Raw genomic sequence first — 24181 nt, 5'->3', positions numbered from 1 at the left:
TCTAAAATCCAAAATACTGAGAATTCAAGAACAGACGCTCAGATGATATTATGGTGCTGTATTTACTTTGTGGAGGCACAGAAGAAGTCAGAATCAAAGAAACACTACTTTGAGAGAAAAAACTCAGTGTTAAGTTAAAAAAAAAAACAACCATAAAGCACCTATCTTCTTGCCTGCAGTCGTTTCTCCCAAAATCACCAAGAATCAGAGCCAAATGTACAAATAAATTACAACCCACCCACCTTCAGGAAGCCTTGCTAACTTACATATGCCATCATGGGACTCGGAAGGGCTCCCCTTCCAAGTTGGCAGAACCAGCATGCCACCACTGTCCGTGTCAGGACAAGAGCCTCAGGCAAAGATGGCTGTTTGAAACCTCTTTCTTCTTCTTCTTCTTTTTTTTTTTTTTTTTTGGAGACAGAGTCTTGCTCTGTCGCCCAGGCTGGAGTGCAGTGGCGTGGTCTCGGCTCACTGCAACCTCTGCCTCCTGGGTTCCAGTAATTCTCTTGCCTCAGCCTTCTGAGTAGCTGGGACTACAGGCGTGTTCCACCATGCCTGGCTAATTTTTGTATTTTTAGTAGAGGCAGGGTTTCACCGTGTTGGCCAGGCTGGTCTCGAACTCCTGACCTCAGGTAATCCACCCGCCTCAACCTCCCAAAGTGCTGGGATACAGGCGTGAGCCACCATGCCTGGCCTCCTGTCTTTTTATCTGAAGCCTGGCATATTGCATCTGGGCTCTTATTAAATAGAAAGTCATCTGTGTAAGCCCCCAAGTCTACACAATCTCCCCAACTTTCTATGCAAATAACCTTTACCACATTGCCCTGCCCTTCAGTACACACAAAACCCAGGTCAAGAACATTTCTTCTAGCCTTTTGTTTTACTTGAAAGTTGTTGTGAGAGAGAACCAACTGAGCTACTGAGGACATGGCTGCTAAGCACAGAAAGGCCATTTAAGGGCTGAGAAACATTGATTCAGCATAATACGTTATTGCCAAAGCAAAGGGAACTGTACAGTTTGGATGCCGGCAAGGGGCTGTCCGTAGTTCTTGCTGAACCTTTGTGGAGAGCCTCAAAGTATACTGAAATCTCAACTGATCACAGTTTTAATGTATAAAATATTAAAATAAAAACTGTGGACAAGACCCTAAAGTAAATGAAACCAGGAAGCTTGTCCACTTTTATTTTCAAACTCTTTGTCGGACCTAGGCAGCATCTTTAGTTCCTCCTTTCCCTTCAGACCTTAAATCAAGTCTACCACCAAGTCCTTTTCATTGTTCTTTTAAACAACTCTTGAAATTCTCACTCTCTATTCCTGCTGCTACCAGCCTATCCCAGCCCTAATCATCCACTAGGGCAACCACTGGGTGACTTCATCCAGTCTGATGCCCCGGTTTTTAATCTTCAGCCTGTATCTCCTCCCTAACTCCAGACTGCTTTGTCAAACTGCCCACTTACCATCTCCATTTCAATGTCAAACAGGGATCTCAAACTTCACAAGTTCAAAGCAGAGCTCTGGAATGCCTGTCCCAAACACTGTAGGGTCTCCCAGGTCCCCCTCCCCTCACTTTCTTTCTTTGTCCTGATCGAGAAGCATGGAGTACCTGGACCCTCTGTCTCTGGCAGCTGCATATTTTTCCCTGTAGGTCTGAACCCAAGCCGCAATCTTGAATACTCCCAAGCACTGATACAGTTGTTGAGGTTATCGCTTGAAACACTGAAAGATCAACCACAAGGCTAAACACGTAGAAACTAGCTCCCACTCCCTGAGCCACATTCTTTAAACCGTCATGAAACATTACACTCTGCCCCATCGTTGTGGACATGCCCAGGTAGAACCTCTTTTTACTATCAGTCCAGTCTCAAGAACTGCTGCAGCACTCTGTCCATAAGTCCCCTAATAACTGCTCTGGACTGAGCACTCTAGCGTTTAGTGCTTCTTTCTCTGGAATCCTCACTGGCCCTACCTCAAGAGAGTTGGGGCAATCCCTTGAGAAAACTTCCCTACCACTGCTTTTGGGGCAACTCTGGCCACAGGTTCATATGAGGAGAACTACCTCAGTAAATGGCAACTCCATCATCCAACTCATTAGACCAGGAAGTTTGAGTCTTCTCACACCTCAACTGTGATTCACTGGTAAGTCCTGTCAACTCTACCTTCAGAATACATCCCGAATCCAGCCAGTTTCACATCACACCTATGCCGCCAGCCTGGACTCTCTCCCAGACGGCTCCAGCAGCCTCCTAACTGGTCTCTCTGTTCACTCTGGACCTCCTAAGGACAGGCTGCTTCCCACACAAAACTTAGATTTCTGCCCTTCTTGCTCTAAAGTGGCATCATTCTCATGAATCTACCCACCAGCCCTGGGAAGATGATTCCAAAATGCTCTCTCTTGAGCCCTGACTTCTCCAGGTCCAAATTTTCAATTAAATACAAGTTCACTTCTATGTGGATAACCTACTGTCGCCTCAAACTCAACATTTCCAAACTGAATTTATCTTCCCCTCAAAACTGGCTCCCCTGGCCAGGCGCGGTAGCGCATGCCTGTAATCCCAGCACTTTGGGAGGCGGAGGCAGGCAGATCACCTGAGGTCAGGAGATCAAGACCAGCCTGGCCAAGATGGTGAAACCCTGTCTCTACTAAAAATACAAAAATCAGCCGGGCACAGTGGCACATGCCTGTAATTCCAGCTACTCGGGAGGCTGGAGAATCGCTTGAACCTGGAGAGGTGGGGGAGAGGTTGCAGTGAGCTGAGATCACACCACTGCACTCCAGTCTGGGCAACAGAGCGAGATTCCATCTCCCACCCCCACCCCCACCAAAAAAAAAAAAAAAAAAAAAACTGGCTCCCCCATCCTAACTGCTCAATTTTTATATATAATATCACCATGCTCCCAAGATAGAAACCCTAAAATTATTCTTTCCTTTTAAGTCTTAATATGCTTGGTATACATTATTATAATAAAATTTGGTATACAATTTTGCAGATTGCAAAAATGGTCACAATTCATCTTCTTCCCGCCTTGCAATGTGACTTTGCAGCTCCTTCCTTCAAGAGGTCAGGGCTATTTCTTTATCCTTTGAATCTGGGCTCATCCTGTGACTTTGGCCAACGGAATGCTGCAGAAGAGAGGATGTGCCAGTTCCAAGCCTAGGCCTTCAGAGAACTTAATGGGCTTCTCTTCTGTCTCAGAACCGTGTTTTCCCAGCAGACTGAAAGCAAGCCCAGGCTAGCCTACTGGACAAAGAGAGACATGTGGCCTAGCTGCCTCTGACATTCCAGCTGAGAGCCTATCAGCCCTCAGAGAAGAACTGTTTTGCTGAATGCAGCTGACCAGACACATAACTGAGTCTAGCTGAGAGTGTAAGAACCGCCTAGCTCAGCCCAGGCCAACTGCTGACCCACGGAATCCTGAGCTAAATAAACAGTTGTTTTAAGTACTGTGTTTTGGAATGGTTTCTCATATTACAATATATAACCATTATAAAATTTAACTCAGTGCATTAAAACATTATATTCCTAGTACTTGAGTCTCTGAGCACAGTGGAAATAAAAGGAAAAAAAAAGTCCTAGTACGTGGTAGACCCTCAATAAATGTCTTGTTCCATCCCAAATGTGGTCACGCAGAAGTCAGCCACCCGCTAGACTTGGCTCTTCAAAGGCAGGAGCCCTATCATGCTCATCTCCATATTCTCAACACTCAGCATAGTGTCTAGCACAAATTAGAGCCTCAATGTATGTGTTAAATAATTGTCAAGTGAAGATTTGAAATGTCTGCAATTCTAGGGCAAATTACATTTACATTACAATTAATGCATTGCATTACACAAAATGGATTACCTTTAAACTTAGGCAAGCTACTCAACTTTTCTAAATATCTGTTTCCTCATTATAAAAGCAATGGGGATAAGAGTGTCTTCCTCATGTAATACTCCTAAGGTTTAAATGCAATAGTTCATGCCACATCTGTAGCATAATACCTGGCACATATAAAATCATACCTATGTGGTGGGTGTTATCACTCACCTGTTTTTCTCTTTCCAAGTAAACTGTAAGTTACTTAGCCACAGAGATGTTACTGTGTGTGTAAGACAGTGCTGGCCACGTGGCAGGCGTGCTGGGTGCTTCATAAGCACATGGACTGCTCTCTGTACAGAAATCTCAATGGCTTCCCACTGCCCATTAAAATTTTAACTACTTTTACACAGCAATAATTTAAAAATCTTACCACCTCACCTATCCCATATTATGTAATATCACATACCAGATCAATGAGAAAGACATCCAGGTATAAGCAACAGAAACCCAAGTAACAGTGTCTCAGACAAGCAGTTTTACTTTTCCATCAAACAGCCTCGAGGTAGGCAGTTGCTGTCATTCTCCAGTGGCTGTCACAGGTGTCAGAGACAGCTGCCCTGAGTCCCTCAGCTGCTCCCTGTGGTCATGGGATGGCTGCCGCAGCTACTGGCCTGACAGCCACATTCAACAGGGTAAGCATGAGACAGAGACTGCCACATCTGCTCCTGTTATGTGGAAAAGTTTTCCCAGGGCTCCAGCCAACTTCTCCTATGTCTCATTGATATCCCACAACAGAGGCTGAGAAAGCATGCAGGCAGCCCTTCCAGCCTCTGAGGCTGTGGCAGATGGCATTTCCCAAAGACGCCCACACTAACAGATCTCACTCCACACGCTCTTCTTCAATTGTGACACTGAAACCTCCCTCTTGAGAGGTGGGATCTAAGTTCTTTCCTCTTGAATCTGGTGGGCTTCTGACTACAATGGAGGAGATGTTGTGTGACTTTCAGGGTGACGTAGAAGAGGTGGTGCTCCTTCCTCCCATATTTCTCTCCCCCCGGACATATGCCTTTGGAGCCGGGGATGCGGAAGAGGCCACGTGGATCGGCCACAAAGAGAGAGGCAGAGGTGCTCAGCAGGAGGCTTTGTCCAGTGTAGGCACCAGACATGGGACGAAGAGCCTTCCACATGCCCAGCAACACCCACCCACCATTCGACTGTGGCCTCATGACAGATGCTAAGCCAGAAGTGCCCAGTAGGATGCTCCCAAGTTCCTGATCCAGAACCCATGAGAGAGAAATGGTTACCGCTTTTTTAAGTAACTGAGTCTGGAGTGACGTGCTATCCAATAGACAACTGCAACATGAGTGGAGGCAGGTGAGAGGAGGTGCAGGGAAAAGGGGGCTGGGTCAGCAGGTGACAGCCACTAATGCTCTGCTCCTCCAGCTGCTGTCCTCACTTCCCCCATCGTCCACAGTTTCCGGCCTTCATGCCCCTGCTCTTCCCTGACCTGAAATCCCAGCCCTAGCTAGCAAAGCAGAGCCATCCCGCAGGTCGTAAGCCTGTCTCCTCACTTCCATCAAGCCACAATGATCTCCCTTGTTCCTGCCCATGACAAAATATTTTTAAGTTTAATTACTTTCAGTCACACTATTCTTTGCCCCCACTACTCTGGCTTCTTAAATCTAGCCTGGGTTCTTGTTCATGGGGATCCCTACATATTTCTGTATTATATATATTAGTTTACTCCAAACACCATCCAAGGTCAGGAGTAGCTGTTTAATAAGCACTTGCTAATGAAACTAAGCAGCGTGCATTTTACCCTACAGTGTTTCTTACAAACTCCTTCTCAAGATAAAGCTAGCCTTCTTCTTACCACTCAGTGATGGTCTGTGTCTTTTCCTCCTTCAAAACTCAGATCAAATGTAACTTTCCCTGTACACTTTTCCCTGATTAACTTCTTCCATCCCCAGAGGAAACACCTCTCACTCCTGTTCTTCTGCACCTTGCACACCCTTCTCATCCTCCTCACCTGTCTGGTTACACTGGAACTGTGTGTCCTGTCTCCTCACCAAACCACTCCATCACTGAGGGAAAGACCACCTCTCATTTATCGTTTTATTCACAGTGGCAAATGTTAATATGCAGGAGAAACTCAACAAGTGGTTGATGAATGGACAAAAAAGGAACACGCTGAATTGCCAACAAAAAAGAACATACTAAATTAAAAATTCCAACTTCATTACTTAACTTCTTTTTTGTTTCTGAGATGGAGTCTCACTCTGTCTGCCCAGGCTGGAGTGCCATGGTGCGATCTCGGTTCACTGCAACCTCTGCCTCTTGGGTTCAAGCAATTCTCCTGTCTCAGCCTCCCGAGTAGCTGGGACTACAGGCACCCACCACCACGTCTGGCTAATTTTTGTATTTTTAGTAGAGACAGAGTTGCTGCATGTTGGCCAGGCTGATCTCAAACTCCTGACCTCAAGTGACCCGCCCGCCTCGGCCTCCCAAAGTGCTGGGATTACAGGTGTGAGCCACCATGCCCAGCCTTAACTTCTTTAACACTTGGCTTAGGTAAGCATAGCAAGTCCACAATGTTAAAGAAAAAATAACACCTTGATAACTATGAAAATAAATTTTTAAATGTCCTTAATAAGCTACTTTGGAAAAATGTTACATTTCAAACCTGTTTTAAAACAAAAATATGAGTCCCAGGAGGTACCATTCATGAGTAAATTCACGGCTGAAAAGCTGAAACCAGGAACTCTTCTCTAATGGCAGCTGGTGCTAGTATGGTATTTCCTATGTTCATTGTTACTGCTATTGGAAAAGGATACTGCTATTGGAAAAGGATACTGCTCTTATAAACAGCTTTGTCCACTTCTAAGACTTTAAGAAGTAAAACAGTGAGTTTTTGAAATTACATGGGAAAAAAGGAATAAGCTGTGTTGCCTAAGTCAGTAGCAGGCTAGAAGCAAAACCCCTGCACTCTTCTATTCCTGTGACAAGTCTCCTCCCTGATCCGGCAGAGCGCCCATGAGAGAATACAAAAGAAGACTAAAGAAGTAGCTTCTCAGAGTTTCAAACTCTTCCCCAATTTCTTCCCATTTTGGAAAACCAATAAAGCCCAGAAAATACCACCCATATTTGCAATATATCCACACTACCAATTCCTGGAAAATGTCTGCTATTTACTTCTTGTTTTTTTTTTTTTTTTTCTTTAAAGACAAGGTCTCACTCTGTCATTCGGGCTGGAATGCGGTGGCGCAATCATAGTGCACTGCAGGCTTGAACTCCTGGCCTCAAGCAATCCTCCTGTCTCAGCCTCCCACGTAGCTGGGGCTATAGGGGCACTACTGTGCTTGGCTGCTGTTTACTTCTGATGAATATCTGCATCTGAGCAGGACTTTGCATCATTATGTTATTAATAGTATCCTAACGGCACTATTAAAATAAGTCAAGATACAGTCTGTGTAATCAAGATTTCCAACTAGCAGGACATGTCAACATAGAGATTCATAGTTTCCTAGTTTGAAGCTAAGAAAATTAAGCCTTTCTCACACTCATCTCAAGACAACTGCACACCCTATTCTCATTAGTAAGGTCTCCTGTCTCCCCGCCCATATGAAACCTACCGAGTTTTCAAGGACCCAGTTTGTCCTAAATCCATGTCTTCAACCACCAGAACACAGCAAGGACTCAATAAACATTTGCTGAATATATTAACATGGAAAGAATGCTACAAACACACTATATGACAAGGTAGTTGATGAATGAGTATTATAAATAAGTTCTGGGGAAAAATCTTTGTGGACTCAGGAGAACAAAGGCAGCTTCTTGGAGGAGTTAGCCTTTCAGATACCTAAGGTCACCATAACCTGTTTAATCCAAATGTCTTCTCCTTGAAAAGTATTAATTTCATTAAGACAGTATTACCACGTGGAGATAAACTCCATAGTTTGTAAGTGGAACTGAACAAATTGTTTTTCAATTCTGGTCCAAGTGCAAAGCCATCCACGATGACGACGATGACTGATTCGACTGCCACACTCTAACTGTTCACTCAGTCTCCTTGGCAGCAGTCACGTTGGCTTCTTCAAGCGGTGGCTTGTCAAAGGAATGCTCCAGAAGGAGACAGGACAAGAGGTGGTGAACAGCGCCAGCTCCTCCACTTTCCAAGTGCAGTGGGAGCAAGTCACTTAACCCCTGCCTCTGCTTCCTGATGAAGTCCCTGCCTTGGAGGGTTGACTGAACAGGTTAATGCAGGTAAAGTGCCTAGAACGTAGCCATGTAAGAGCTACATGGGCATAAGCTATTATTGTTGTTGTTGAAACTCCTATTAGCATCATTAGTAGACTACATTTTCACTGATGTTTAAGAACCTTCTCTCCAAGAACCTGACTTAGCCTTTATTTACAGTTCAACTCCCATCCCACTCTACTCATGACCTACTTTAATCTTCAAGTTTTCTGTCTGAGCAGTGTTAAGTTGGTGAGACCTTGTTTGATATTAGTAGCACATGCTGATACACAATGCTAAAAGTTTCCATTACTGTTGCATAAAAACAAGCTAAATATCAACTCGATTTCCTAGTTCTTTATATGCCTAACGTTTGCTAATTTGCTATAGTGTGTGCTATTTTTTCAGAATATGAAAGTAATGAAGCAACAAAAACAAAACCATATATTGCAGATTACACTTCCTGGTAATAAAAGATGACACTTTAGAAATATGGTGGAGCTGGGATGAGATCATCATATGAAAGTCCTGAGGGGAAGAGTCAAGGTGATTGCCAATGGGGGCCATGAGCTCCAGTGCATTAGAAACATTATTACTTTAAAGATAGGTTAGCCAGAGTATATAAAATGCTTGGCATTTCAGAGTTCACTTCTATTATTAAGAACAATGATTCTCAACCATTACTGAAACACTCCGGGGCCTTTCCAATTATCTCACACTACTCAAATTCTTAAAATAGAAATTGATATTTAATTCAATTTAATCTTTAAAAAATATGCCACACTGCACTTTTAGGAAAGCACTGACATGTCACAAAATCAACAATGATATTTCTGCTATTACATAACTCAGTAAGTCTTGTGGTTCAATGTTAAATGCTTTACTTAAAAAAAAAATCCATTTCCATCTCTCTAGTTGCTTTTCTGATTTTCTGCCTTGGAGGATCTGGAGAAGAAGGAAGGTAGTTAAAATCATCATGCAGTCATAGACTGTCCTCTTCAGAGAGCCTGATCAGTCCTTTCCTGTTTTGCTATTGTTGAATTCCTACTGTTTTTGTTTTTTTTGAAGTCACCCAAATAGCTTTTTCTTTAAAAAAAAAAAAAAAAGCAGATAGAATGGAATTGTATTAAAAAAAAAAAAAAAAAAACTAGAAAATGGCTTGGCATGGTGGCTTATGCCTGTAATCCCAGCACTTTGAGAGGCCGAGGTGGGCAGATCGCTTGAGCCTAGGAGTTTGAGACCAGCCTGGGCGACATGGAGAAACCCCATCTCTATAGAAAATACAAAAATTAGCCAGGCATGGTGGCATGTGCCTGTAGTGCCAGCTACTCAGGTGGCTGAGGTGGGAGGATCACCTGAACCCTGGAGGTTGAGGCTGCAGTGAGCTGAAATCGTGCCACTGCACTCCAGTCTGGCTGACAGAAAGAGACCTTGTCTCAAACATACAAACATAAACTAGAAAACAACAGGGGATTCAAATCTATTCTCAAATGAATACTTTCAAATGGCCTCTACTCTGAACCTATGCAGATCTAGTGCTTCTTGGCTGTAAAATACCAAAAAAGACTTATTTTGACTTATTTTATCTTAAAGTATTTGGCCTTACTTCTACCACTTTAAGGAACAAAAGACGCTGTTATAATCTCTCTTGTCAGCCTCCACTTCACTTTAGAATAAGTTATTAGTGAAATGTGAGGTGGACTTCTCACCAAATTTTCTAAAAATGACCACTGAGTGCTTTCCATACGACAGGCAGTGCACTTCATAAACACGTCATTTAATGATCAAATAATACTAATATTTAACTGATATCACCCTGTATCAGTTGGGATTTTGATTTCTAACACATATGACAGAAACTAGAGCCAAAAAGTGAACTGGCTCCTGAAGTAGGGAGGCTAATCATCTCCAGGGGCCGAATGAGCTTCAGCTGTGGCTCAAGCCAGCCCAGCCAGTGTCACTAGGGCCCCATCTCACTCCATGCTCCCAGTTCTCCTCCGTGTGGGCTTTGTCTCCAGTTTCTACTGTTAGAATTGTGGAAGAATGTTACTCAAACCTCTCACTCTCCTCTCATTTAAGTCTAGTGGGAAAGAACGATATTTTTTTCCTCATGTGCTATCTAAAGTGTCTCTGTATCTCACTGTTCTGAGAAGGTCATGATCCCACTCCATGATTCCATTTTGCTGTTTCCAGGAAAAAGTAAAGCTTAGGCGAGGTCATCAGCCATCCACAGCTGAACTGGACCTCTGGCAGGAGCCTGTAAGGGAGCTAGAACTGGCACGAGGGGTCAGTGGATGCAGGATGCAGGAGTGCAGTGGCACGATTTCAGCTCACTTGCAGGATGTCAAAAACAGTGGATGTCTACCACATTTGCCCTGTTTTCTAGAAGAGAAAATGGAGAAACAGAGACTTCAAATAAACTGCCTAATGTCAGAGCTACTATCTGACTCCACCCACATTTTGTCACCTCTGCACAATTTGCCCCAACAATCTAGTGAGGGTACCCCTGCTTAAACTTGGGTATCTGGGTTTTCTGTCCTAATATACCACTTTGAATCAATTCTCTGATGAACAGTTTCAAGATTATCTTCCATATGCAGTTCATAATAATGTTCCCTAATAATACCTCTCAAGTAAAAGAAACAAGAAATACAAACAGATTTCATTATGTTTGAATAAGTCCACTCTGAAGACTTATGTAATTTGGGTATTTTTATTATTTATTATTTTTGCTTTTTGAGACAGAGGCTTGCTCTGTCATTCAGGCTGGAGTGCAGTGCCACAATCTTTTTTTTTTTTTTTTTTTTTTTTTTGAGATGGAGTTTTGTTCTTGTTGTCCAGGCTGGAGTGCAATGGCACGATCTTGGCTCACTGCAGCCTCTGTTTCCTGGGTTCAAGTGATTCTCCTGCCTCGGCCTCCTGAGTAGCTGGGATTACAGGTGCCTGCCACCACACCCGTCTAATTTTTGTATTTTTAGTAGAGATGGGGTTTCGCCATGTTGGCCAGGCTGGTCTCGAACTCCTGACCTCAGGTGATCCGCCCGCCTCAGCCTCCCAAAGTGCTGGGATTACAGGCGTGAGCCACCATGCCGGGCCAGTGGCATGACCTTGACTCACTGCAGCCTCGACCTCCAGGGCTCAAGTGATCTTCCTGTGTCAGCCTCCCAAGTAGCCAGGACCACTGGCATGCGCCACGATGCCCAGCTATGCCCAGCTAGTTTTTGTATTTTTTATAGAGATGGGGTTTCTCCATGCTGCCCTAGTTTGAGACCATGGCTGGTCTCAAACTCCTGGGGCTCAAGCTATCTGCCTGCCTCGGCCTCCTGAAGTGCTGGAATTATAGGCTTGAGCCACTGCAACCAGACTGTTATTTATTTTTTGAATGTGCATCTCATGTACATGGTACAAAAGTCAAAGATGGAAAAGGGATGCAGAGAAAGCAAATCTCCCTCCCCCTCTGTCTGCTTGCCACCTAGTTCTCTTCCCAGAGGCAACCACTATTACCAGTTTCTTGCATATCCTTCCAGAGATATTCCATGCATGTAGAAGCAAACACGTATAGATTTTCTAAAACCAAATGATAGCATTGTCTGTTCTGTACCTTGCTTTTAAAAACACACCACTTCAGCTCCCGCCTTTGAAAATCTCATGTGAAAATGTCCCAGTGCAAAATATAACAAGGTTTTCCACCCAAATGAATGCTCTGCGTCTCAGGATCCCATTTCTGCCTCATTGTGAATCAGAGGCTAACTTAAAGCCTCCTTTTATTTTGAGACCAGGTCTCACTCTGTTGCCCAAGGATGAAGTGCAGTGACATAATCAAGGCTCACTTCAGCCGTGATGTCCCTGGCTTAAGTGATGATCTCACCTCAATCTTCCAAGTAGCTGGCACTACAGGCATGCCACCATATCCAGCTATTATTTTATTTTTTAATTTTTTGTAGAGACAGGGTCTCACTATGTTGCCTAGTCTGGTCTCAAACTCCTAGGCTCAAGCGATCCTCCCAGTCTGGCCTCCCAAAGTTCTGGAATTTCTAGGTGTGAGCCACTGAGCCCAGTCACTCAAAGCAGCTTGATACTCAATTTTCCTCCCTTGTAAAATGACATTCCCTGTAAGACATTATAACAAAATAAAAGCTGCATAAAATAAAGGCTCTTTTGAAGTTATAATCATGACCTTTGCATGAAAATCTATTTGTATTTTTTAAATGAATTCTAATAAGATATAAATAGAGACACTTCTTGAAATTTGGCACATTTCTGTGGCACTATAAAATAAAATAACTCCAACAAACACCTTCAAGACAGGTTAAACTACATCATAGCACATTTTTCTGTGAGGTTATGGCTGCACAGAGACCTAGACTACATGATAAAATAATCTATTAAATACTATGCAATTACTACAAAGATTAAAAATGTTAAATTTCTTGCTTGTCCCACCATAGGCAACAACTGTATGTAATTTTTATGTATTTAAAAAAGAAAAAGAGAGTATGTGTGTATATTTTAATGAAAATGGTACTGACATACATTCCATCCCCAGGCTGTATACCCTGAAATTGCTTTCATAACTGGGATGGATCTGTGAGGATCCATTCCTCTTTTAAGACGAAGGCTCTGTGTGCAGAAAACTGAAAGAAATGAACCAGTCAATCCAGGGGCTGAAGCTCCAACAGAGGGGTTTAACCAACTGAGTTAACTACCCCAGTTCACAAATGCCGTGAAACACTACTAGAGATAGATTCCTGATATGCTTTATAAGACAAATGGCCTGTCACATGCTGTTCAAAAGGGCTAAGAACATTTTGCTGAATCAAGAAGTTAAACTACCCAGCTACTTGGGAGGCTGAGGCATGAGAATCGCTGGAACCTTGGAGGTGGAGGCTGTAGTGAGCCAAAATCACGCCACTGCACTCCAGCCTGGGTGACAGCGAGACTCTGTCTCAAATAAATAAATAAATGAAGTTAAAATGAAGAAAACAACTCAATTCCGATACAAATCATTTTACCATTAATGATAATTTTTTATGCAAAAATTCAAATCATACTTTTAGATAATTACTCTTCAGATAATGATAATCTTTTACAGACAAACCAATCAAGAGGAATCACAGAAAGAAAATTTACGGAAAGCTCAAATGTCCACGTACAACTCAATCTGTCAGATTCAGGAAGCTCCTTTTTTTTTTTTTTTTTTTTTTGGAGACAGGGTCACCCAGGCTGGAGTGACTCACTGCAGCCTCGATCTATGGGCTTGGGTGATCCTCATACCTCGCCTCCCGAGTAGCTGGGAGGGACTACAGGCACATCCCACCACGCCCAGATTTGATTTTTTTTTTTTTTTGTATTATTTGTAGAGACAGGGTTTCACCATGTTGCCCAGGCTGGTCTCAAACTCCTGCAGTTCCTGAAGTGGGATATTTGGATGGAAAACCCAGAACTTCAGTGATCTTCCCACCTCAACCTCCCAAAGTGCTGGGATTGTAGGTGTGAGCCACCGCACCGGCCTTACAATTCTTTCTTCTACTTAGAAAGTTCACAATAAAAGAATCTTTGAGAACCACCTGACGGAATCAAATTCATTCTTCCTCAGAATTTCTACTTGCCAAATTTAATGTACTAGCTGTAAAAGTTTTAAATTCATACATCTTTAAAAAAATTAACCATGAATTATTTTTATTAAGGTGGAAGGGTTTTTGGTTTGTGTTCAGTCTTTTTGTAGGTCTATTTTTGAAAACAGATTCTGCACTTCCAGTTCTAAACAGATACCATATGGCTGCTTCTTTACTAAGTTATTTATTTTTCAAAAAATGCTAACTGCAGTTTTGGCAGTTCTTTATTAAACATCATTCGTAAAACACAAACAAACAAACAATTCCAGCAATCATCTATGAAGAGACTTTAGAAGCTTGTAAAAAAGTGAATTCTACCTCCTTCTGGCTGACGACTCCTCCTCCTACCCTCTTGAGTCCCCTCTGGGCCACATTAAAATAGCTTGCTGAACAATATGTTATAACTTCCTAAGAGAAAGTACAAATGAGTCCTCAGTGCCCAAGAAGCTGTTTCCGGGAGCATCCAGGTCTCTGAAGCCAGGTCAGAGGAAAGCAGGTGGGTACTGAGAAAGAAAAGAGGTGACAGTGGCCAACTCCATTCCCATGGATGTGGTCTTGGAGCCAACAGGACCCAAAGCGTTATTCAGATTTTTTTTTTTCAATCCAAAAGCAAAGTCCAGCTTAGAAAATAAGAATTGGGAAGGCAAATAAAACTGGAAAAGCTTCTGCAGAGGCCACAATACTTTGGACATCTTCTGCGATCAATAATTCATGAGACTGTTTGGCCCAGACGCATAAGGACAGGAAAGTGATTGGTCATAGGTAAATTCTCTTGCTGTGTATACGGCAACTTAGAATTTTTGGAGCTGGACGGGACCTTGAGATTATTTAGTAAAGACCAAGAAGCTAAGACAATTTCTGGGCAAAATGCCTTGTGAGTTCAGGTTTTACGTATCACTCACTATGGCAAATGGTAGCAATGATAGATGGGAGGATGGAAGGAAGCAAGGAAGGCAGGCATGTTTACCAACAGAACAAACAAGACACATGGTACAACAACAGAGCCTGGCGATAAGGCTGAGGCCACAGCTCTACTGTTCAGAAACAGGAAGAGGCCAAAGGCACACCCCAGTTAGGAAGGATGGGAGCAGAGGCAAATGGCTCCGAGTATGACGCAGCACGAAACCACTGTGGAAAGAAACTGAAAAGAGGTCTGTGGCCACTACCGGAGGCTATGGCTGAGATAAAGCCCATCCCTGGGGCAGCAGGAGGAAGCTCAAGAGCCTGCAGCCTTCGAAGGGAAAAGATTGGCCCTCTACTCACTACTGAGAAGGGCAGGAGCCTGAACTTCCAAAATAAGATCATGTACTAAACTAGGATCCTGGGGAGGACAATAGCAAAACCACTCCAGAAAGGTGAGGGCACAGAGGGGGACAAAGAAGTCCACTTAAGACAGGCTTCTAAACTAAAAGCCCAAAGCTTGTGAGGGAAACCAACTTCAAGAAAGACTGACGGCCAGGCGCGGTGGCCCATGCCTGTAATCCCAGCACTTTGGGAGGTCAAGGTGGGCAGATCACGACATCAGGAGATCGAGACCATCCTGGCTAACATGGTGAAACCCCGTTTCTACTAAAAATACAAAAAAATTAGCCGGGTGTGGTGGCAGGCACCTGTAGTCCCAGCTACTAGGGAGGCTGAGGCAGGAGAATGGCATGAACCTGGGAGGTGCAGCTTGCAGTGAGCCGAGATGGCGCCACTGCACTCCAGACTGGGCGACAGAGCGAGACTCCATCTCAAAAAAAAAAAAAAAAAAAAAGAAAGAAAAAGAAAAAAAAAAAAAGAAAAACGAACCAAAACTCAACCATCAAAACATAAATTTTCTCCTGACAAAATAAAAACATGGCAAATTGAAAACAACTTTAATATAAATGTGTTAAAACTTCCAGGCCGGGCGCGGTAGCTCATGCCTGTAATCCCAGCATTTTGGGAGGCCAAGGCGGGCGGATCACAAGGTCAGGAGATCGAGACCCTATTGGCTAACATGGTGAAACCCCCTCTCTACTAACAAAAAATTAGCTGGGCATGGTGGCGGGCACCTGTAGTCCCAGCTACTCAGGAGGCTGAGGCAGGAGAATGGCGTGAACCTGCGAGGCGGAGCTTGCAGTGAGCTGAGATCGCACCACTGCACTCCAGCCTGGGCAACAGAGCAAGACTCTGTCTCAAAAACAAAAAAAAAAGAAAAAAGAAAAAAGAAAAAAAGAAAAAAAAAACTTCCAAAGAGATACACAAGAAAAATAACCAGAAAAAAAAAAATTTTTAGAAACAAAATCAGGCAGTAGTTATGAAAACAAAAACCTATTCAAAATCCTGAAAATGAAATATATGGTCAGTAGATGGGGAGAAACAACACCAAGCACAGTAAACGAGAGAATTAGTAAATTAAATTCACTCTGTGTATAGAATAGAGATAAAACACTTCTCTCTATGAGAAGTGAAGTAACATAACAGGTAGAGTGAAAAGAAACACATCTAGTAGGATTTCCAGAAATAAAGCTAGAAGGAGTGGTGGGGAGGCAATACTAGAACTAACGCTAAAAATGTGCCATAATTGAAGACTTGAATCTCAATTCTGAAAGCTCGCAATGAGTGCCAAGCAGAGACTGGATAAAAACAAATCTAGGGGCTGGGCGCGGTGGCTCACGCCTGTAATCCCAGCACTTTGGGAGGCCGAGGCAGGTGGATCACAAGGTCAGGAGATCGAGACCATCCTGACTAACATGGTGAAACCCCATCTCTACTAAAAATACAAAAAATTAGCCAGGCGTGGTGGCGGGCGCCTGTAGTCCCACAACTCGGAAGGCTGAGTCAGGAGAATGGCGTCAACCTGGGAGGCAGAGCTTGCAGTGAGCCAAGATCACGCCACTGCACTCCAGCCTGGGTGACAGAATGAGACTCCGTCTTAAAAAACAAACAAACAAACAAAAAACAAATCTAGGTAGATTGCTGTGAGGCTGCAAAACATTAAGGATAAAGAGAAAACCTTGAAAACTAGCAGACTGAAAAAACAGTTAAAAGGGAATGATAATTAGACTGGCAGCAGACTTCTTAACAGTAACAATGAATAACAGAAGGCAATAACATCATATTTTCAAAGTTCTAAGACAAAACCAGCTAACCCAGAATTCCAAACCCAGGAAGAGTAAAGATGAAACAAAAGATATTTCTGAAATACAAAGACTAGGTTTACCTTCTATAGATAGTTACTCTAAGAACTACTAGAAAATACATGCTTCAATAAAAATAATAAAAACCCAAAGGGAAAGAAGGTGATACAGTAAGCTAAGACAGAATAAAGGACTTGTTTTAGGTTTCTTAATTCATGGCTGAGACCAAAGGAACCTTGGCATGTTGACTCCCAAGTTAGTACTCTTTCCTCTAAACTAACTCTCTGCATCTTCATCTTCATTTTCACACTTCCATATTTTAACTTCTAGTTAGATATAAAACTACACTTGACAGTTCCTAAATATTATACAATATTTTTCATAGCATTCAAATTATTTTTTTAAATTTAAAAACTTCCTTGAAGTGTGATTAGAATAAGGAAGAGATCCAAGAGAAGTCATTTTATTGACTGTACCTTTCTTTGGTCAAATTACCTGGCTCTCAGTGATACGTTCTATTTCCTCCATATTTAACACAAAATTGTGGGTTTTTTTAATTTATTTTGAAAGGTAAAGTGTTGATAAATAATTCATAATTGTCTTTGGTTTACATCTAAATAAAGAGAAATTCTGTGCATCTCTAAACAAAACTAAATTTTTCTTTTCATATGACATTATTTCACTATTTTAATATGTATTTATGAAAGTAAGATTTTGCAAATGGCAACTGTATGCATACACTTAATTAAAAGAAAAAAAAAACACGCGGCCTTGCGCGGTGGCTCACGCCTGTAATCCCAGCACTTTGGGAGGCCGGGGGGGTGGATCACCTGAGGTCAGGAGTTCAGGACCAGCCTGGCCAACAGGGCAAAACCCCATTTCTACTAAAAATACAAAAAAAATAGCCCGGCGTAGTGATGCGTGCCTGTAGTCCCAGCTACTCAGGAGGCTAAGGCAGGAGAATCACTTGAACCCAGGAGGCAGAGGTTGCAGTGAGCCAAGATCGTGCCACTGCACTCCAGCCTGGGCGACACAGTGAGACTCCGCCTCAAAAGAAAACAAACAAAAACAAAAAAAATGTGACTATCATACCTTCAACTTACATGGAAATAGGCAGCAAAATGACAGTTGAAAAAAATCTAGTTGGTACTCTAAGTGAATAAAAAAATAGATGCCTTAACCCTCAAAGATGTAACAGTGATTTATACACAAATGTTAGTTCCCTTGCTGCGATCTGTGATATGTTAACACATTCCCCAATAAAGTCATCTCAACCTCCACATCTGGATCCCAGAGCAATTATCTGCCTATTTTTAAGCATTGTAAATTATTGTAACACTGTACACACAGCCAGCAAGAGAAGGTTCTATAGTTTTTTATGTGATAGAACAGGGAATAAAGGAAGTATTAGCTCTAAACAGTGAATAGCTGGACAATACTCCCTGGCCCTAATACAAAGACTGTGACTTTTTTTTTTTTTTTTTTTTTTGAGATGGAGTCTCGCTCTGTCCCCCCAGGCTAGAGTGCAGACGCGCAATCTTGGCTCACTGCAAACTCCGCCTCCCGGGTTCAAGCGCTTCTCCTGCCTTAGCCTCCCGAGTAGCTGGGATTACAGGCACCTGCCACTGCACCCGGCTAATTTTTGTATTTTTTTAGTAGAGATGGGGTTTCACCAACTTGGCCAGGCTAGTCTCGAACTCCTGACCTCCTGACCTCCCAAAGTGCTGGGATTAAGGGCGTGAGCCACCGCACCCAGCCAAGACTGTGACTTTGCATGGAGTTTCAAGTCAGATTCACTAAACAACACTCTGTGTGCATGGGTTAAGTACAGATGGACACAATCTACAACCCCAGACACCAAAGACCTCAGAGAAGTATAAATATAATTATGAAAATCCCTCTGGCCGGGCACCATGGCTCACATCTGTAACCTCAACACTTTGGGAGTCCAATGCAGGAAGATCACTTGAGGCCAGGAGTTCCAGACCAGCCTGGACAATACAGCAAGACCCTGTCTCTATAAAAAATACCAAAATTAGCTGGGCATGGGAGCACACACCTGTAGTGCCGGCTACTTGAGAAGCTGAGGCGGGAGCATTGCTTGAGCCCAGGAGGTCAAGCTTACAGTGAACTATGACTGCATCACTGCACTCCAGCCTGGGCAACAGAGAGAGACCTCATCTGTTAAGAAAAAAAAAAAATCCTTCAATGTTGGCTAGTCAAACTTGGATGAACAAACAACAAGCGCAGTCTGTTATGCTGTCAGTAACTACAACAGTATCAGACTTCACTGGAAGAAGTTTGGTGTTTTCCATAAAGGATCATTTTGCAGGATATATTGGAAGATAGTCTGTGGTCAGAGTCAGTACAAATAACCCAGAGTGTGGGTTCATATCCCTGGGCAAGAGCTGATGCTACTCAGCAGTGTATTTTTAGACACAGGACAGTTATGCAACAGAGCTAGTTCAATGATGCTATGGGTACTTCTGTGTAGAATCCAATAAAAGTAATCGCAAAACAGTCTTTCAACTACTAGAAACATTTCTGAGGTTGAGGAGTTTGAACATTCTTGGGGCAAAATGAATAAGGCACCTAAAATTTTATGCTGATGATCAGAAAATGCTCTAAGCCATAAGGAGAAATAGATGTGGTAGGTAGACTCGTCTACAAATAAGCTAACCTCTAAAACCCAGAGGAAGTTGGTATAATTTAAACCAATATACACTCTTTATTAGAAGGAAAAAGAGCTAGTCAATATAGAAGTAAAAATAGACAGCCAGCTCCTCAGATGCCAAGAGATTTTCCTAACATGTTCTCTCTGGAAGGAAAACTAAGACTTTTACTTCTTACAGTTCTGTATAGTTCAGGTCTTTTACAATGAGAAAGTACATATATTAATTTTAAAAAGAAAATATGTGACTTGTATCTCAAAAATTGAAAAGTAATTAAAATGCTAAGTGATTTGAGAAATAAGCTATGAGCTAGGGATTCACTTTTGAGCCAATAAAATATAACACAAATCCACTAATTAAGAAAAACGTCATAAAAAGTCAGGCAATCTGGCACATTGGTTAAACGGGCTTTTGAGATTCTCTTTCAGGGACCCTAAAGCTCATCTCTCTCAATTATAAGGGACAACACATTGCTATTTTTAAACAGTGAAAACCATGCACTCAAAGTTTTTAAAAACTTGCTAAAAACTAGAATTGAATACTGCTCTATTAGAATAATCAGTGGGTCTGGAGGTACTGCTAACAGGAACAGCTAACAGCAATAGCTGCTCCTGATATCACTCTGCTCAAAACCCACCAGGGGTCCCAATCACAGGCAGAGGCTGAACCTGACAAGGACAGCTCAAAGGACTGGACAGATGGAAGTACACTGTTGCAAGCTTCCTGTATCACCACAGAAGCAATTCTACATCAACTTTAAGTATATTGTGATAAATCCAAGATGAATGTTACAATCTTTAGAGCAATCACTTTAAAAAAGAAATAAAACTAAAAACAGAAAGATACATGGAAAAAAATTGGTTAGCACTAAAGAAGGCAGGAAAGGAGGATCAGGAATAACAAAATAAGGAGATAAACAGAAAACAAATAGCAAAATTGGAGACCTAAGTTCAACTATATCAATAATTACATTAAAATGTAATTCTGCTAATGGTGGCATTTATGCTAATGGTGGCATAACTGTAGTAACAGGCTATTTTCTGATAGGCACATGCATTATACATGACAGAGCATGAACTGTACTTTTTGCTAGACCTCTTTATTGGGTAGGGTTTCACTTGCTCAGGGCTTCTTACTTGCATACAGCCTATTCCACCTGCTCAGAGCCTGTGGGATTATTCTTACCATCTTCCATGTCTTCCAACATTAAGTAAACATCTCAGCAACAATTACCTGCCAAATAAACATTAACAGATTTTTCTTCCCCTTTTACCTGACTGTCTGGTTTTTGCTACACTCATTTTTTAACGGAACCCAATTCTTCATAAATGCCACATTCTACTTGCTGCCATTGCCTTCCAACAATGGTCTTTCAATTCAATCTTCCAAATCACTTAGAAAAATAGTATCAACTTGAAGACTGATTCTTAAAGCATATGACATATAAGAATACAGCCTCTTGGGCAGACACTGACATGTGCACTCGAGGCTGCCAACCCAGAACAAGATGAGTTAAGGGTCTATCAGTTCCCGACCATTTCCATTTGAGGCCCTGGACCCTACCAAACCCTCCATGATGGACAGATACCAGGAATGCCCAAGAGTGCATCGTGCTACACCCGGAGTGACACTGTACAGGAGCCATACAGGAGCTATAAGAAGTGCTGCTTCTTGGCCAACAGGCACATTGTGCTGGCATGAAATCTGTTAATTTGTGTTATTTATAGTTACTCTAGCCTCACTTTTTTTTTTTCCTTGTTTGTTTGTTTGGTTTTTTTTTTTGGAGGCATAAAAGGGAAGGGGGGAAGGCTTCAACTGTCTTATTTTACCAACATCAGAAGACTTAACTCTGACCCTTAGCCCAGATGGGCCCTACATTCACCAAGTCCCCCAAGGCCAGAGTCAAGGGCAGATGCCCTTCAGAGTTACAAAGGATATGAATAAGTGAATGGGCAAGAGCAGAACAGACAGAAAGCCAGTCCACAGGGACAGGCCCACAGAAAAGTCTGTCAAAGAAGCCGTCTAAAATTCGTACCAAGGCCTATTCAACTGGGAAGAGAAGATAAATTCTGGGAGTTTTAAATTTTTTTAATTTACCAGCTTCAGTTGTGTGATGGTTAATATTCAATGTCAACTTGATTGGACTGAAGGATATAAACTATTGTTCCTGGGTGTGTCTGTGAGGGTGCTGCCAAAGGAGATTAACATTTGAGTCAGTGGACTCGGAGAGGCAGACCCACCCTCAATCCGGGTGGGCACCATCTAATCAACTGCCATCGTGACCAGAATAAAAAGCAGGCAGAAGAACGTGGAGAGATTAGACTGGCTTAGCCTCCAAGCCTCCATCTTTCTCCCGTGCTGGACGCTTCCTGCCCTCAAACATCATACTCCAAGTTCTTCAGCTTTGGGACTCAGACTGGCTTCCTTGCTCCTTAGCTTGCAGATGGCCTACTGTGAGACCCCACCTTGTGATCGTGTGAGTTAATACTCCTTAATAAACTCTCCTTTAACATACATCTGTCCTATTAATTCTGTCCCTCTAGAGTACCCTAATACAAGATGACATTAGTTTCCTTTGAGAATATAACCAGGAAGGTACACAGCAGTAATTGGCAAAGAACGATTTTTTTTTCCTTTCAAAAGGGGGTGTTTCTCCCAAATTCCATCAGTAGAGACCACTGTAAACGAAGTGGACACCCATTTCTTTTCTAGGTAAGAGGAAGAGGGGAGGGTGGCTGGCATAGAAAGTCACATAAACAACAAATTAGGGGCAGAATCTTCCTATGAAGGCTATCTTAATGTATTACACATTCCTCCTTATTCAATATAAAAGAACATGTAGTGAAGGGAAGCATGCATGTAATGTACATGGCTGACCACTGCCCAGGAGAAAGCTGAAACGGCTTAGATTGGCACATGCTGCCCGGTGTGGCCCAGCCTGTCTCTAATCTCAGCCCTCCAGCCCCACCCACCACCAGCTGCTGGTCTTCTCACACCCTCTACAAATACCCTGGGCAGACAGCACTTGTCTCCTGTTCTTTAGTCAGGAAACCTCGTTACCTATCAAGACTCAAATCAAATGTTACTGCTTTTGAAATGGGTTCTCTGATATCATCAAAACAAGCATTTTCTGCTAAGTTATCACACTAGAGTTTTCCATGATTTGTACATTACTGCCTTACAAGCATGTCTCTGGCCCTCAAGTAAGAGCTCTTTGAGTGCAGAACCGTTTCTCATATGTCTTTTTATACCAATGCTAAATAGATGTGGGATGTAACCAGCCTATAGAGGATACTTGTTTTACTGCAAGAACTAACAAATTCATTTATTATTAATATCTCTGTTATGCACAGTGACACTGAGAAATACTTCACCCTCAAGGGCTAACTGCCCCAAACAAGGCATAAATCCATATGAGTCGGTAAGTTTTCCCAAATGAAGCAATTCAATTAAATAAAGTGCTAAGTAAATATACCACAAGGACTGATGGGTTTGTTTAAATAAATAAAATACCTCAGTAGGGTGAGAATAGAGTATTCTGAGCATAATATCACCAAGTACACTTAAAATTTACACACAGAATCACTTTTCTCTAAGAATAGTTCACAGAGCTGTTTCATTATCTTAACAAAGTCTGTAAATCTCAGAGGTTCTCAGGTCCAAGGACTCTCTCCCTCCTTCCACTTGCACCCCTGCATGGTTTTGCAGAGAACATTCTGAGAAACCGATCTTGAGAAGCATGAAAAGTCCTGAAAGGTTGAAAGGTCTTCTCTGGATTAGTAACATTAAAAACAACTAATGTGTGTGCTGCTTTAAAATGTTCAGAGTCCCACTTCTGTTCTGAGTTAACCCACAGAGCACTCCTATGTGTCAGGGCAGACACAACCACAATCCTTTGCTCACAGAAGAGGACACTGGGTCCAGAAGAATGAGCGTCACACCCAACCTCACCTCCTTACTAAGTATGTAATGAAGACTCCAAGCCTGATGGATCTTCAGTCATCTATGCTTTCTCAATACGACACGTAACTAAGGTCCTAAATTTTACAAAGAAAAAAAATTAAGAGGTGAGAGGGCGAAGTCAGCAGCAAAGATGAAAGTGAAAATTCTCTGCCTGACAACAAACCAGAGTGACTGGAGAGGGCAAGCCTGGGCCAGCACTGGTGTAGGGACCTTGGGGCAATCCCTCAGGGAAGGCCAGGCCTCGGCATCAGAGGAACACTTCAAGTTTCAGGAGACGATTCCCTTTCTGGGTATAACATCAGAGCAAAGGTATAGCTTCACCAGCCAGTAAAAACAACAGCAGAAAGCACAGCTCTCTTCCTACTCATCTAATGGAATTGCTGGCCGCCGCAGGGCTGCTGGCTTACTATAGTCATTTTTATGTAGGATCTTAGACGTGCATCACAAGCCAATACTGACTCCTGGGAAAGAGAATCTTCTCAGGGTGGTCCTCCAACCAGAAGTGAACACTGACATTTCAAAATGACTGTTAGAAGATGGACCACAAACAAATGACTCTGCCTGCAGCTCACATTTAAACCTGACACAGGCCTCTGCCCAGGCCTGCTGGTAACACCAGTGGCAAATCCTGTCACGTTTCATTAAAAAATGCATGTTCTCCTCAGACAAGGCTCTCATTTCTAGACAAATAAAACCTTGACTCGAAGAGTCACAAAATCCACCACAAATACAACTCCTAGCAATAGCATATCCAGAGAGGGTGCTGCAGACGGGAGAAGCTAGGGGCCGT

At 42.6% G+C, this 24181-nt stretch overlaps 1 protein-coding gene across 14 annotated transcripts in view, besides 1 other annotated feature; it reads right to left on the bottom strand.

Moving 5' to 3' along the window:
- Positions 1 to 24181, bottom strand: part of TULP4 (TUB like protein 4) — a 279634-nt gene that overhangs the window by 130521 nt on the left and 124932 nt on the right. The gene's annotated exons all lie outside the window — the stretch shown is intronic.
- Positions 23381 to 23630: an enhancer, noted in NCBI's record as "active region_25354". NCBI's record gives its function as "activates an Ori minimal core promoter by ATAC-STARR-seq in GM12878 lymphoblastoid cells {active_cell/tissue: GM12878}" and the evidence as "EXISTENCE:reporter gene assay evidence [ECO:0000049][PMID:35858748]".

The sequence above is a fragment of the Homo sapiens genome, chromosome 6 (assembly GCF_000001405.40).
Source record: "Homo sapiens chromosome 6, GRCh38.p14 Primary Assembly".
Classification (NCBI taxonomy): Eukaryota; Metazoa; Chordata; class Mammalia; order Primates; family Hominidae; genus Homo; species Homo sapiens.
The sequence above is the reverse complement of the archived record's forward strand: the minus strand, read 5'-3'. Positions and strand labels throughout refer to the sequence as shown.